Source organism: Homo sapiens, chromosome 12, assembly GCF_000001405.40.
Source record: "Homo sapiens chromosome 12, GRCh38.p14 Primary Assembly".
NCBI classification, from domain to species: domain Eukaryota; kingdom Metazoa; phylum Chordata; class Mammalia; order Primates; family Hominidae; genus Homo; species Homo sapiens.
In genome coordinates this window covers 111,656,434-111,671,320 of record NC_000012.12, presented here as the reverse complement: position 1 = coordinate 111,671,320, position 14,887 = coordinate 111,656,434, and the positions used below count along the sequence as shown (strand labels likewise).

Sequence of the window (14,887 nt, the reverse complement as noted above, 5' to 3'; positions counted from 1 at the left end):
ACCTTGGCCTCCCAAAGTGCTGGGATTATAAGCATGAGCCACTGTGCATGGCGTTGATTCTGTTTTGATAGCAATTTGTGATGGCTCTGATCTTTCACTCCCATGGGAACCTTTCCTATATTATGTGGTCACTGGAATCATTTTGTAAAGTAGCAATACAGCTCTTTATTTTAAGATATATTTTAAGATTAAGATTTCTTTTTCCTTTCTTTTTTTTTTGGAGACATGAGTCTCACTCTGTCACCCAGGCTGGAGTATAGTGGCGTGATCTTGGCTCACTATAACCTCCACCTCCCAGGTTCAGGCAATTCTCGTGCCTCAGAATCCCAAGTGGCTAGGACTATAGGCATGCGCCATCACTCCCGGCTACTTTTTGTATTTTTAGTAGAGATGGGGTTTTGCCATGTTGGCCAGGCTGGTCTCAAACTTCTGATCTCAGGTGATCGGCCCACTTTGGCCTCCCAAAGTGTTAGGATTACAGGCATGAGCCACCGCGCCCGGCCAGATTTCTTTTATTTTAAATTAGACCTGGGCCAGATGCGATGTCTCATGCTTGTAATCCCAGCACTTTAGAAGGCCAAGGTGGGCGGATAACTTGAGGTCAGGAGTTTGAGACCAGCCTGGCCAACATGAGGAAACTCATCTCTACTAAATATACAAAAATTAGCCTGGTGTCGTGGCAGATGCCTGTAGTCTCAGCTACTCCGGAGGCTGAGGCAGAATTGCTTAAACCCCGGAGGCCGAGGTTGCAGTGAGCTGAGATTGCGCCACTGCACTCTAGCCTGGGCAACAGAACAAGACTCCCATCTAAAAAACAAAATTAAAAAATTAAGTAGACCTGAAGGTCTTTTTACTTTGAGATCCGCTTGATGGAAGTTAGTTCTGAGTAGATTGTTTTAGCATTTGATTAGGTGAAATCAAAATTTGATAAGTGGGTGGCGGGGGAAAATGTTGGATGGGAGAGAAGAAGGCTGAAAAGTCTCAGCGAGCTGGAGCTGCCAGAGGACCTGAAGAAGAGGCAGAAAAACTTGTGAAAACTAAAACTGTTTCTTCCAGTAATGGAGGGGAAAGTTCCAGTCGCAGCATTGAGAAACGGTCAGATGAAGAAGAAGCTGCAGACCTCCCAACAAAGCCTACAGTGATCTCCAAGTTTGGATTTGCCTTAGTTGGATGACAAAGAAAGCATCAACAATATCCATCAAACTTGGATCAAATAAGCCAAAAGAAACTGTTCCAACTCTTGCTCCAAGCACTTTTTCAGGAGCAGCAGCTTTTAATGAAGATGAAGATAGTGAACCAGAGGAAATCTCCAGAAGCAAAGATGAAGATGAAGAATATTGGAAGGGATACACCAACATCAGCTGGACCAAACTCCTTCAATAAAAGAAAGCATGGGTTTTTTGATAACCAGAAGCTATGGGAGCGAAATATAAAATCTTATGTTGGAAATGTCAATGACCAAGACAATTAAACGATGTTTTGAAATTGGGGTGTGGGGTGGGTGTAAACTTAAAAGGAACAGTTTCCTTTTTTAAAGAATGGTATAAGACTATTTTTGGAGCCACTTTTTTTTTCTCTTTCATTTTTTGTTTAAATATTGAGCTGTACACTAATAAGTTAGGGTTCAAAATTAGAGGTAATTTATGTTTTATATACAGATTTCAAGACATTTGCTAATTTTGTAGTTTCATGTGATTAGTTTCCAAAGGTTACAGATAATAAATCAGAAATGGTACCTTTTTAAGAATTGCATATATTTTTAGAGACAACTATTAACACATTAAGAGGGAAGCAAAGCCGGGCATGGTGGCTCACACCTGTAATCCCAGCACTTCGGGAGGCGAAGGCAGGCGGATCACCTGAGGTCAGGAGTTCAAGACCAACCTGACCAACATGAAGAAACCCCGTCTCTACTAAAAATACAAAATTAGCCAGGCATGGTGGCGTATGCCTGTAATCCTAGCTACTCAGGAGGCTGAGGTAGAATCACTTGAACCCAGGAGGCAGAGGTTGCGGTGAGCCAAGATCACACCATTGCACTCCAGCCTGGGCAACAAGAGCGAAACTCCGTCTCAAAAAAAAAAAAAAGAGAGAGAAGCAAATAGTTATTGTCTGTTTAAAACTGTAAGCAGTTACTCTCTTAACTCCCTTATTACCTAAACTTGTCTGGCTCCCAGGAACAGCCTTCTAGAGACAGGGAGTATTGGGAGGAAAACGTTACTTAACTATTGACTGAACGTAAATTTAGATAAAATTAAAATGCAGCTTTTTTCCTTATAGGCATTTGTTTTGTTTCAAGTCATCATAAAGTAGGTATTGCATTGCTATCAGTGGATACAGATGCTTAGCTCTTAAAAGAATTTTTTTTGGCCAGACGCAGTGGCTCACGCCTGTAATCCCAGCACTTTGGGAGGTTGAGGGTGGATCACGAGGTCAGGAGATCGAGACCATCTTGGTTAACATGGTGAAAACCCATCTCTACTAAAAATACAAAAAATTAGCTAGGCGTTGTGGTGGGCACCTGTAGTCCCAGCTACTCGGGAGGCTGAGGCAGGAGAATGGCGTGAACCCGGGAGGCGGAGCTTGCAGTGAGCCGAGATTGTGCCACTGCACTCCAGCCTGGGCGACAGAGCGAGACTCTGTCTCAAAAAAAACAAATTAAAAAAAAAAAAAAAGAATTCTTTTTAATGTAAACTGTTGAATATTTGAAATAGCCCACTTCACCTTAATGGGTCTTGTGTATCTTCATTTGTCTTCAAAGAAAAACCATTTGCTACCAAAGTAAATCAGTATTTCGAATGTGCTTCTCTTGTTTTTTGTTTATTAGCTAGTTGCTGTAAGCATTTCCACCAGAACTTGAGCCAAATCATAAGGAAGCTGTTTCTTTTAAAATACAAACCACCACCAAAAAATTAAATGTACATATTAAGCATTTGACTATTTTTATTTTTTTAAAAAGTATAAACACCAAAAAAAAAAAAATTAACATTGTATGAAGATGGAAAACAAGAAGATACACTTTCTGTAACTTTGTCTGAGGATTTAAATTACTAACTTGTGAATCCAATTTAAATTGAACTTAACTACTGGCTTCCCCCACACCCCGCCCCGACCCAGACGGAGTCTTGCTCTGTCGCCCAGGCTGGAGTGCATTGGAGCAGTCTCGGCTCACTGCAGCCTATGCCTCCCAGGTTCAAGTGATTCTCCTGCCTCAGCCTCCTGAGTAGCTGGGATTACAGGTATGCACCACCATGCCCAGCTAATTTTTGTGTTCTTAGTAGAGATGGGGTTTCACCACGTTGGCCAGGCTGGTCTCAAACTCTTGACCTCGTGATCCGCCTGCCTTGGCCTCCCAAAGTGCTGGGATTACGGGTGTGAGCCACCGTGCCAGCCCCAGCTTTCTTACTAGTAAAATTACATGGTTGATTTTAAATGTATACATGTTGACCAATGGCCTCTCAAAAAGCACATTTTAGATACTGGAGTAGAAGGAAAGAAAATGCATCTTCAAACATTTTTTTGGAATCTCACCACATATACTTTGTGAGATTTGTATATTGTAGGGTGTTAGTTTTTGTATTTTTGTATTGTGTATGAGCTTTTTTTTTTTTTTTTTTTTTTTGAGACGGAGTTTCACTCTGTCTCCCAGGCTGGAGTGCAGTGGTGTGATCTCAGCTCACTGCATCCTCTACCTCCTGGGTTCAAGAAATTCTCTGCCTCATCCTCCCAAGTAACTGGGATTACAGGCACCCACGACCACACCCGGCTAATTTTTTGTGTTTTTAGTGGAGACAGGGTTTCACCCTCTTGGCCAGGCTGATCTTGAACTCCTGACCTTGTGATCCACCCGCCTCGGCCTCCCAAAGTGCTGGACTTAACAGGCGTGAGCCACCCCGCCCGGCATCTTTTTTAATGTGACAGTTAAACACATCTTTAAAAGCATAGTCACAGACAAAAGAAGCATACAGTATAAACATTTCCTTGAAAACTCCTACAATATTATATTTGGAGGCAGCTTCAGACTGTTTTATTGGTGGTAACTGCTCGCTGAGCTCTTTTAGTTGGTAATAACTCCAGAGAAGCATCCTGTGTATATTCCTAACACTTGTTCACTAGCATTTAAGTTTAGAATGAGCCCCAAGTAAAACAATGGAAATGTATATAGAACTCTTAGTTCTTACATGATTTAATTATATCAAAATACATGAATTTAACTTACTTTAATGTAGGCAAACTATCAATTTTTGTCCATTTTCCTGTTTGTTAACATACCTCTCCTAGATATTCTTTTCTTGACCCAAATGAAATATTAACCTAAGGTCAAGCTGGGAGAGAGAAACAACTGAGATGAATGTCTTTACTAAAATACCGATAAATTTGTCAAACTCAAAAAAAAATTGACGTGATAAAATTGGGCATCCTTTGTGCTGGCTGCTGCACGAGGCCTCAGTTTTAGAGATTCCTTTCTTAAATGAACGTGGCTTCTTGAGAGATTTCCTGTAAGTATCTACTCTTCAGGGACTGTAGGTTAATGTGCTTTTTCTCTGTCCATAAGTGTGTGCTCCCTGACCTTTGCCTAAGTAATTCTTTCTCGTCTTCTGGCTGGAAGCGTCAAGTCAAGCACTGTCTTAGGAATGCCTTTCCTGACCATCTAGACTGTCATGCCCCCTAATTCACACCCTGTTGTGGCTTCCTGTACTGTTTGCTTTTTAATTTGATTTTTGTCTCTCCCTCCACTAGATTCTAAACTCTGTGGGGGCAGGAGCTGACTGTTTTTTGGACTTAACGTATCTGTTTTTGCTCACCACTGTTCCACACCTAGAACAGTGTCTGTCTGCTGCACATAGCAGGGGCTCAATCTCTATCTGTACAATGAGGGAATAAAGAAAAATCAGTGTTGTTGGTGCTGTCATCACTGAGTAGAAAGTGTTAAGTTATAACTTACTCTATGGAAAAATCCTTCAGGTCCAGCTATTCTTTTGTTCCTTTGTGTTCTATTATAGTCGTAGACACTTAGAGCTTGAGCTAGGAGTCTGGTCACATTTGAGATTTATATGTTAAGGTTTTGACAGCAGTCTCCCTTCCTGGAATGTCAGTTCTGTAAGGGCAGAGATCTTTGTTTTGTTCACCGCTGTACTCCCAGTACCTGGCACAGTGCTGGAACACAGGAGGTACTCCATCCCTGTTTCTTGAATGAATGAATAAATGAATGAAAATATTACCAATTTAAATTACTTGCTTAGAGTAATGATATTGAGGATATCCTGCCAGGAGTCAAAAAAGCAACTAGAAAACTATTATTAAAAGAAGAAAGGCCTGGCACAGTGGCTCATGCCTGTAGTCCCAGCTACTGGGGAGCCTGAGGTGGGCAGATCTCTTGAGCCTGGGAGGTCAAGGCTGTAATGAGCCATGATTGCGCCACTGGGCTCCAGCGTGGGTGACAGAGAGCGAGACCCTGTCTCAGAAAAAAGAAGGAAAAATAAAGTATTGCTGGTAGATGAAGAGTGAGGCTTATGTGAGGTGTTTCCTGTAGGGCGCCAGCCTCCCAGTGATGGACCTGACTGAACTCCCCAAGTGCACGGTGTGTCTGGAGCGCATGGACGAGTCTGTGAATGGCATCCTCACAACGTTATGTAACCACAGCTTCCACAGCCAGTGTCTACAGCGCTGGGACGATACCACGTGAGTGCAGGGGCCGAACCCCTCTGTGTACAAGCCCATTGCAACCCTTCCAGAATTAAAAAGAGCCACCAGCAGAAATGAACCATTCCAAGTATTTGACTTTATTCAAGAGGTCCTTTTTCTCCTTCCCTTTCCTAAGTTCAGGGAATCGGCATTCTGAGACCAAGTCCTTTTTTAGTATGCTGATTCTGAACCCTTGTGGAATTCCCCAAAGCAGCATGAGTTGTTCTTTCCTTCCAAGAGCCAGAGAGTGAAAAAAAAAAGCAAAGCTTAGTTTGAGGCTCTCGTGCTGCAGTGAAATCTAGGTCTGGAATCTCATGTATCAGCTGCACTTGGTGTCTGCCATTCACTCTGGGCTTCTTATCAACTGGGCTACAGCAGCCTAATATTTTAGCTTTGCTGGGCTGTTGATGGCTTGGTGGCCAGTAGAAATAGCAGTTACTAAGTATGAGATCTACTCTACAGCCTCCTGATTCCCAACATACCAGGTCTTAGTCATAGGTGATGTTGCTACAGACAAAGAACAGGTAAGGCCTGTACCTTTTTTTTACCCCCTAAATCCAGGATGGTTGCTCCCTTTGCAGACTGCACTGTGGGACTTAACCAGAAAGGTGTATCAGATGCTGGCCTTCTGGATTTCCCAGTACAGAGGGGAACCCAGAAATGAAATCACACAAGTAAATAAATCACAGCCATAACCAGTGTTACAGAAGAGCAGTGTGCAGCATTGGGACTGAGAACTGGGGCCCTAATGAAGCCAGGACCACCTGAGAAGTGGCATCTCCAGGAGGGTAATTAGGAGTTAAGCCGGGTAAAGAGCAGAACCCAGAGAAGGCAGTGGGGGAAGGGGAAGATCATGTTCCCAAGCACAGAAGTGAGGAGGGGTGAAAGTCTACAGGAATCTCTGTCCACCCACAAGTGGCCTGGTGGCCGGAAGAAGAATATCAGCTTCACAGAGCGGGGGCCATGCCTGGCTTGCTCACTGCTGTGTCTCTCACACCTGGTGGGGGACGTGGCACACAGTGGTAGACACTGAGGAGCACATAAATAAACTGGGTCTCTGCAGCTTATCACTGCCCTGCTTATTTAGCTGGACAGGAGTCTTGCTCCAATTCCGTGGAGTCCTCAGTCAATTCTTAGGTATCATTTGGGAGTTTTCCAAGGAATTGTCCAGTTGCCTTGAACAAAGCCATACTGAGATATGTGCATTCCTTAAAGTGTTTACCTGTATCTTCAGTCCATCTGCTATACCAGTTAAGTTCTAGGCAATTCTTTGTTCCCCGCCACTCCAGTTTTACTTTTTTTTTGAGACAGGGTCTTGCTCTGTCACCCGTGTTGGAGTGCAGTGGTATGATCACAGCTCACTGCCTCCTCAAACTCCTGGGCTCAAGTGATCCTCTCGCCTCAGCTTCCCAAGTAGCTGGGACTACAGGTGTGCACCATCTCACCCAGCTAATTGTTTTTTTTGTTTGTTTTGTAGAGATGGGGTCTCGCTATGTTGTCTAGGCTGGTCTTGAACTCCTGAGCTGAAGCAGTGTTCCTGCCTTGGCCTCGCAAAGTGCTGGGATTGTAGGCATGAGCCACGATACCCATCCCCAGTATTCCTTTTGATATAAATTAACTGTTACAGAACCATAGCATTTTAAAGTTGGAAGTTTCCTCAGGGACCATTTTTTCCAACAACCTCATTTTATACAGGAGGAGGACACAGGCCCAAAGATAAGAATTTGCAAGCTCAAAGTGTCATGGCCAGAGAATGCCAGAACTGGGACTAGAATTCAACCTGTCATATGGGATGTAAGACATGCCATTTGCCCTCAGAATCATGCAGTTCATTTAATGAGTTTTGAGCCTTGGTACATGCATAGAACTGTGAGAGATGCTGAGACAGAGGAAGCAAATTCAGGTCCTCTTTGGGGTGGTTTGGTCTAAGAGAGTTTACACTTGGACATAAACACATGTGGTTCAGGGTGGAGATTGGAAGAGAGAATGATGGCATCCCCAACCAGGGGTACTCAGGAAGGGCTGCAGTAGGAGGCAGTGTTGGTCTTTTTGATAGAGATGTCAGAGAAGGCTTTGGGAAGAGCTCCCAAAGATCTCATCAGGAAAATAGGATAAAATAATTTTTTGCAGAGAAAGGCAGGAAGAATTTAATAAACTGTTAATTATTATTATTATTATTTTTTGAGATGGAGTCTCACTCTGTCACCCAGGCTGGAGTGCAGTAGCGTGATCTCGGCTCACTGCAACTTCCACCTCCCGGGTTCAAGCAGTCCTCGTGCCTCAGCCTCCCGAGTAGCTGGGACTACAGGCATGTACCACCACACCTGGCTAGTTTTATATTTTTAGTAGAGATGGGGTTTTGCCATGTTGGCCCAGCTGGTCTCGAACTGCTGACCTCAGGTGATCCACTCACCTCAGCCTCCCAGAGTGCTGGGATTATGGGCGTCAGCCACTGTGCCTGGCCGATAAACTGTTGATTATTTTTTAGTAGACAGATGAGGTAGTATATCATAGAATGCTAATTGTTTGTTTACAAGTTTATTCTTGTAATTTTTTTTTCTTTTCAAGATCAAATTTACATTTCAGAAAGATCGTTTTGATCATTTGGGCATAGTGTAGAGAATTAGATTTCAGAACCAGTTCTGAAATCTAATTCTGTTGTTTTTAGTTTTTTGTTTTTTTTTTTTTTTAGAAGGGCTTTTGCCACATTGGCCAGGGTAGACTTGGCTTCAAGCCATCCTCCTGCCTCGGCCTCTCAAAGTGCTGGGATTACAGATGTGAGCTACTGCACCTGGCCTGTTTTCTTATTCAACCACTTTCACAGCCACCACACAGACCGAAGGGATGAGACAAAGCCAATTTCTACTTTCTGCATTCTGCTTTCTGGCTACCATTTCTGTTCTTTCTTTGAGTTTGTCTTCTGTCTTCTCTTTTGATGCTAAAGGAAGAAGTGGACTAGATCCTTTCCTTTCTCTTACACAGATAGAGCTGTGTCATCTGTGACACAGTGTTCTTCCTGTTTATTCCATTTTCTTGGTTTTATTTACTTAGTTGGGTAACTGTTACTAGTTATAGCTTTTTTTTTTAGACGGAGTTTCGCTCTTGTTGCCCAGGCTGGAGTGCAATGGCGCAATCTCAGCTCACCACAACCTCTGCCTCCTGGGTTCAAGCGATTCTCCTGCCTCAGCCTCCCAAGTAGCTAGGATTACAGGCATGTGCTACCATGCCCTGCTAATTTTGTATTTTTAGTAGAGACAGGGTTTCTCCATATTGGTCAAGCTGGTCTTAAACTCCCGACCTTAGGTAATCCGCCCGCCTAGGTCTCCCAAAGTGCTGGGATTACAGGTGTGAGCCACCGCGCCTAGCCACTAGTTATATCTTGAGCATTGTTTCTTCCTGGTGCCAGTTCAGTCAGCCTCAGCTATAACCCACTTTCTGTCCTAGTTGCCCATCTAACAAAAATACTCATGACTAGTATTTAGTATTATTTTGTGTGGAGTATAATAGAAAACAGTTAATGGATTTTTTCAACATTGTTTTTATTGGCTTTTTGTAAATTGAGACATGAATGCCTGATAGAGCACTGGTATCTTCCACATGATGTTCACGGTGCAGTGAGATATCATGTGCATTTCAATAAGTACATTAACACCTTTGTGTTTAGCCAGGTGCGGTGGCTCATGCCTGTTATCCCAGTACTTTGGGAGGCCAGCATGGCCAATATGGTGAAACCCTATGCCCACTAAAAATACAAAAATTAGCTGGGCATGGGGGTGCATGCCTACAATCCCAGCTACTTGGGAGGCTGAGGCAGGAGAATCATTTGAACCTGGGTGGCAGAGGCTGCAGTGAGCTGAGATCGCGCCACTGCACTCTAGCCTGAGTGACAGAGCAGGACTCTGTCTCACAAAAAAAAAAAAAACCTTTTTTTTTTACTACAGATTTTAAATCCAATTCTTAGGAGCAACCTGGAGAAGAAAGGGTACTTTTTGAATGATTTAAATCTTTGGGAAATGGGGATAAGGCAGGTTGTTTGTTGGAGTAAAAATACATTATAGGCTGAGCACGGTGGCTGACGCCTGTAATCCCAGTACTTTGGGAGGTCAAGGCAGGCAGATCACCTGAGGTTGGGAGTTTGAGACAAGCCTGACCAACAGGGAGAAACCCCGTCTCTACTAAAAATACAAAATTAGCTGGGCGTGGTGGCGCATGCCTGTAGTCCCAGCTACTCAGGAGGCTGAGGCAGGAGAATTGCTTGAACCTAGGAGGCTGAGGTTGCAGTGAGCTGATACTATGCCGTTGCACTCCAGCCTGGGCAACAAAAGCTAAACTCTGTCTCAAAAAAAAAAAAAAAAACAAGCTGGGAGCTGTGGCTCACACCTGTAATCCAAGCACTTTGGGAGGCCAAGGCCAGTGGATCATGAAGTCAAGAGATCGAGACCATCCTGGCCAACATGGTGAAGCCCCGTCTCTACCAAAAATACAATAATTAGCTGGGTGTGGTGGTGCATGCCTGTAGTCCCAGCTACTCGGGAGGCTGAGGCAGGAGAATCGCTTGAACCTGGGAGGCAGAGGTTGCAGTGAATTGAGATCGCACCACTGCACTCCAGCCCAGGCAACAGAGCAAGACTCTGTCTCAAAAAAAAAAAAAAATTATAAATAATCAGACATGAAATGAAGTCCTAATTGTAACCTGTAAATACTTAGCTCTTTGATCATCTAAGCTTTAGACATAAGAGCGGAAAAGGACATGAGGCAGATCCCAATTTCTCTGTTCTCTGTTTTATCAAGATTTTGTATATTTTTATTTTGTATATTTTATTTTAAGTGATATCCTTAGTTATGATAAAAATAGCATATAAGAGGAGGAGGATATAAAATCCAGTGTTTGACTTTTGGGTTCTGTAACAGCTGTCTTTTATATTTAACCTGCACCATTATCTTTTGGTGTCCTGGATAGGTGTCCTGTTTGCCGGTACTGTCAAACGCCCGAGCCAGTAGAAGAAAATAAGTGTTTTGAGTGTGGTGTTCAGGAAGTAAGTAATGGGTGATGGAAAAGAACAAAGAATGCAGCTTTAATTGTCATGAGTTTTCTTCTGCCTGGTATGACTTAAGTTCTTTATTTTTAATTTATTTTTTATTTTTTATTTTAAGAGACAGGGCTTACTGTGTTGCCCAGGCTGGTCTCGAACTCCTGGCCTCGAGCGGTCCTTCCACTTCAGCCACCCATAGTGCTGGGATTGCAAGTGTGAGCCACTGCACCCAGCCTAAATTCTTTAAAATTTTTTTTCTTTTTGTCTAGGGTTGGGCAAGACATATGAATACACAAATTATGTTACTCCTGAGCTAAATTTATTCCTTTTTTCTTTGCACTTTTGAAAGGCTTAGACTTTTACTGATGAATTGTGAATTTTTTTCTTGCTGTTCACATAGTGCTCCTTAGAAATCAGCAAAAAAAAAATGACCCATAAAAGCATCCTTGATTGTTGGGTTTTAAACATACATTTAATCACTCAGGCTCCTGTAGAAACAGTTTTTTCTTTTTCTTTTTCTTTTTTTTTTGAGACAGGGTATCATTCTGTTACCCAGGCTGGAGTGCAGTGGCATGATCATAGTTCACTGTAACCTCAAATACCTGGGCTCAAGCCTTCCTCCCATCTCATCTTCCCAAGCAGCTGGGACCACAGGTGCATGCCACCATGGCCTAGTAGGTTTTGTTTTGTTTTGTTTTTGTTTTTTCTAAAAAATTTTGTTTTTGTTTTTTCTACAAAAAAAACATTTTGTAGAGTTGGGGTCTTGCTATGTTGCCCAAGCTGGTCTTAAACTCCTAGGCTCAAGCGATACTCCTGCCTCAGCCTCCCAAAATGCTGGGATTACAGGTGTGAGCCACTGTGCCCAACCAACAATTCTGTCTTCTAGTGTCTCAGGTTCCTTCCCACTCTGAGTGAGCTGGATCGATTATTTGTTTGTTTGTTTGTTTTAAGACAGAGTCTTGTTCTTATCACCCAGGCTGGAGTGCAGTGGCACGATTTCGGGTCACTGCAACCTCCACCTCCTGGGTTCAAGCGATTCTCTTGCCTCAGCCTCCTGAGTAGCTGGGATTACAGGCAGCTGCCACCACGCCCAGCTAATATTTGTATTTTTAGTAGAGATGGGGTTTCATCATGTTGGCCAGGCTGGTCTCGAACTCCTGACCTCAGGTGATCCATCTGCCTCGGCCTCCGAGCCATCGCGCCCAGCCAGATCATTTATTTTTATTTAACTAATTAAGATCTTACCTCTTCCGGCAGAATCTTTGGATTTGTTTAATATGCGGCCACATAGGATGTGGACGGTATGTCAGTCGACATGCTTATAAGCACTTTGAGGAAACGCAGCACACGTATGCCATGCAGCTTACCAACCATCGAGTCTGGGACTATGCTGGAGGTGAATACCACTCTCTTTTCTAATTTGGACTCATTCTGTGTGGAAACTTTGCCTTCACAACGCCTTCACTTTCCCTCCCAGCTTGAAATGTCATCTTTTGACAGCTGTTGCAAACCCAAATTCTCAGTTTCCCTGAGGGCACTATTTTTCTAGGAATGTCTTGAATCACACATTATAAAGGGAGTTAATACTTCCATTCTTGCTTTCTCCCTCCCCTCTAAAATTCAAATGATTTGACACTTTTAAAGAAATATTGTAAGGCATTTAAATTAGATCTGAAAAAAAAATTTTGTCAGAGTTAAAAGTGTACAGAGACCCTTTTCATTCTAAAGAAACACACTTTTGTTGACTCTTTCTGTAGATAACTATGTTCATCGACTGGTTGCAAGTAAAACAGATGGAAAAATAGTACAGTATGAATGTGAGGGGGATACTTGCCAGGAAGAGAAAATAGATGCCTTACAGTTAGAGGTAAGAGATTTAATGAGTTATCACTCTATCTGTTTCTACTGCTCTTTACTATTCTAATTTGAAATATTTGTCATTTACCTGGATGTACATTTTTTTTTTAAAGTTTGGTCATGGCCGGGCGCAGTGGCTTATGCCTGTAATCCCAACACTTTGGGAGGCTGAGGCAGGTGGATCACCTGAGTTCAGGAGTTCAAGACCAGCCTGGCTAACGTGAAACCCTGTTTCTACTAAAAATGCAAAAAATTAGCTGGGCATGGTGGCACACACCTGTAATCCCAGCTCCTCGGGAGGCTGAGGCAGGAGAATCGCTTGAACCCGGGAAGCAGAGAATCGCTTGAACCTGGGAAGCAGAGGTTGCAGTGAGCCGAGATCGGGTCATTGCACTCCAGCTTGGGCAACAAGAGCGAAACTCTGTCTCAAAAAAAAAAAAAATGTTTGGTCATTGCTGTGAGGTGTTATTAAAATATTTTTATTCTGTTTTTCTTCTTTGAAAGTCTAAATGTCAGCTGGGTGCAGTGGCTCACACCCCTGTAATCCCAGCACTTTGGGAGGCTGAGGCAGGCGAATCACCTGAGATCAGGAGTTCAAGACCAACCTGGCCAACATGGTGAAACCCTGTCCCTACTAAAATTAGCTGGGCGTGGTGGTTCATGTCTGTAATCCCAGCTACTTGGGAGGCTGAGGCACCAGAATTTCTTGAACCTGGGAGGCAGGGGTTGCAGTGAGCTGAGATTGTGCCACTGCATTCTAGCCTGGGTGACAGAGCAAGACCCTGTCTCAAAAAAAAAAAAAAAGTCTAAGTTTCACTGTGCCTTGTTACTTTCATTGTGATGTCTGTAGTTGTCTCAAGTTCAGTGTTAAGATTTGTTTTCCCGTAGCTACAGGCTAGAGTACAGTGGTGCAGTCTTGGCTCACTGCAACCTCTGCCTCCCGGGTTCAAGCGATTCTCCTGCCTCAGCCTTCCGAGTAGCTGGGACTACAGGTGTGTGCCACCATGCCCAGCTAATTTTTTGTATTTTTAGTAGAGACAAGGTTTCACTGTGTTAACCAGGGTGGTCTCGATCTCCTGACCTCGTGGTCCGCCTGCCTCAGCCTCCCAAAGTGCTGGGATTATAGGCATGAGCCACCGTACCCGGCCACGAGTCATGTTTTATATAAATTTCAAAAAATGTTGTTTTAGAAACATACCTTAACCTTAGGAGGAAGTGGACATTTGAAAACTTGCTCATTTCAAGACTCTTAAAGGTCTGATAGTAAAATGGCCTAAAATGAGTTTTATATCGTTATTAATAAATCATTGTATTAATAAAGATCAAACACTTTTAAGTATTTAGAATTAGTAAATCCTCCACATTAAGTATGTACATGCATTCTATTCATACAAGAAATACTGGCCGGGCACAGTGGCTCATGCCTGTAATCCTAGCACTTTGGGAGGCTGAGGTGGGTGGATCACCTGAGGTCAGGAGTTTGAGACCAGCCTGGCCAACATGGTGAAACCCCACTTCTACTAAAAATACAAAAATTAGTTGGGTGTGGTGGTGGGCGCCTGTAATCCCAGATACTTGGGAGGCTGAGGCAGGAGAATCGCTTGAACCTGGGAGGCGGAGGTTGCAGTGAGCCCAGATGGCGCCATTGCACTCCAGCCTGGGCGACAAGAGCGAAACTCCGTCTCCAAAAAGAAAGGAATATTTATTGGCCAGGCATGGTGGCTTATGCCTGTAATCCCACCACTTCAGGAGGGCAAGGCTTGATCGCTTGAGTTCAGGATTTTGAAACCAGCCTCGGCAACATAACAAGGCCTTGTCTCCACTAAAAATAAATTTTAAAAAAAATTATCCAGGTGTGGTGGCATGCACCTGTAGTTCCAGCTACTCAGGAGGCTGAGGCAGGAGGATCCCTTGAGCCCAAGAGGTTGAGGTTGCAGTGAGTCGTGATTGCACCACTGCATTCCAACCTGGGCAACAGAATGAGACCCAGTTTTAAACAAAAAAAAAAGAAAGAAAAAAGAAAAATCTTTGCTGTCAGCCACTGGTGCTAGTGCTGCAAACACAGTATTGAACAAACTCCCTGCTCTCATGGAGCTTAGGGTTCAGTAGCATAGGTGTTCTTCTCCTTGCCCTCTCTGTAGTCTGCAGACATGTTTATATCTCTTCTAGTCTTCTAGAATGGTTTTTCCAAAATGGAGATGTGACCTTGCCACTCCTTGGCCTTGGGTTCCCCATTGCCCATATTTGTCAATATTATAATACCCCAAAGCCTTCCACTGGTGCCATATCTCCTAACCTGGCACATTAGTGTT

At 43.4% G+C, this 14,887-nt stretch overlaps 1 protein-coding gene and 1 pseudogene across 5 annotated transcripts in view; both read left to right on the top strand.

Annotated features, from left to right (window-relative positions):
* The window catches only part of BRAP (BRCA1 associated protein), a 43,811-nt gene that overhangs the window by 14,636 nt on the left and 14,288 nt on the right, over positions 1–14,887 (top strand). For 4 of the 5 annotated variants that reach the window (XM_017019992.2, NM_006768.5, XM_005253944.5 and 1 more), the window contains 4 exons: positions 5,534–5,682; positions 10,646–10,721; positions 11,976–12,114; positions 12,476–12,585. In XM_017019992.2, coding sequence (XP_016875481.1) covers positions 5,534–5,682; positions 10,646–10,721; positions 11,976–12,114; positions 12,476–12,585 — 474 coding nt within the window. The remainder of the gene's footprint in view (positions 1–5,533; positions 5,683–10,645; positions 10,722–11,975; positions 12,115–12,475; positions 12,586–14,887) is intronic. The other variant, XM_047429623.1, reaches the window with a different exon arrangement.
* Positions 942–4,390, top strand: PCNPP1 (PEST containing nuclear protein pseudogene 1; annotated as a pseudogene).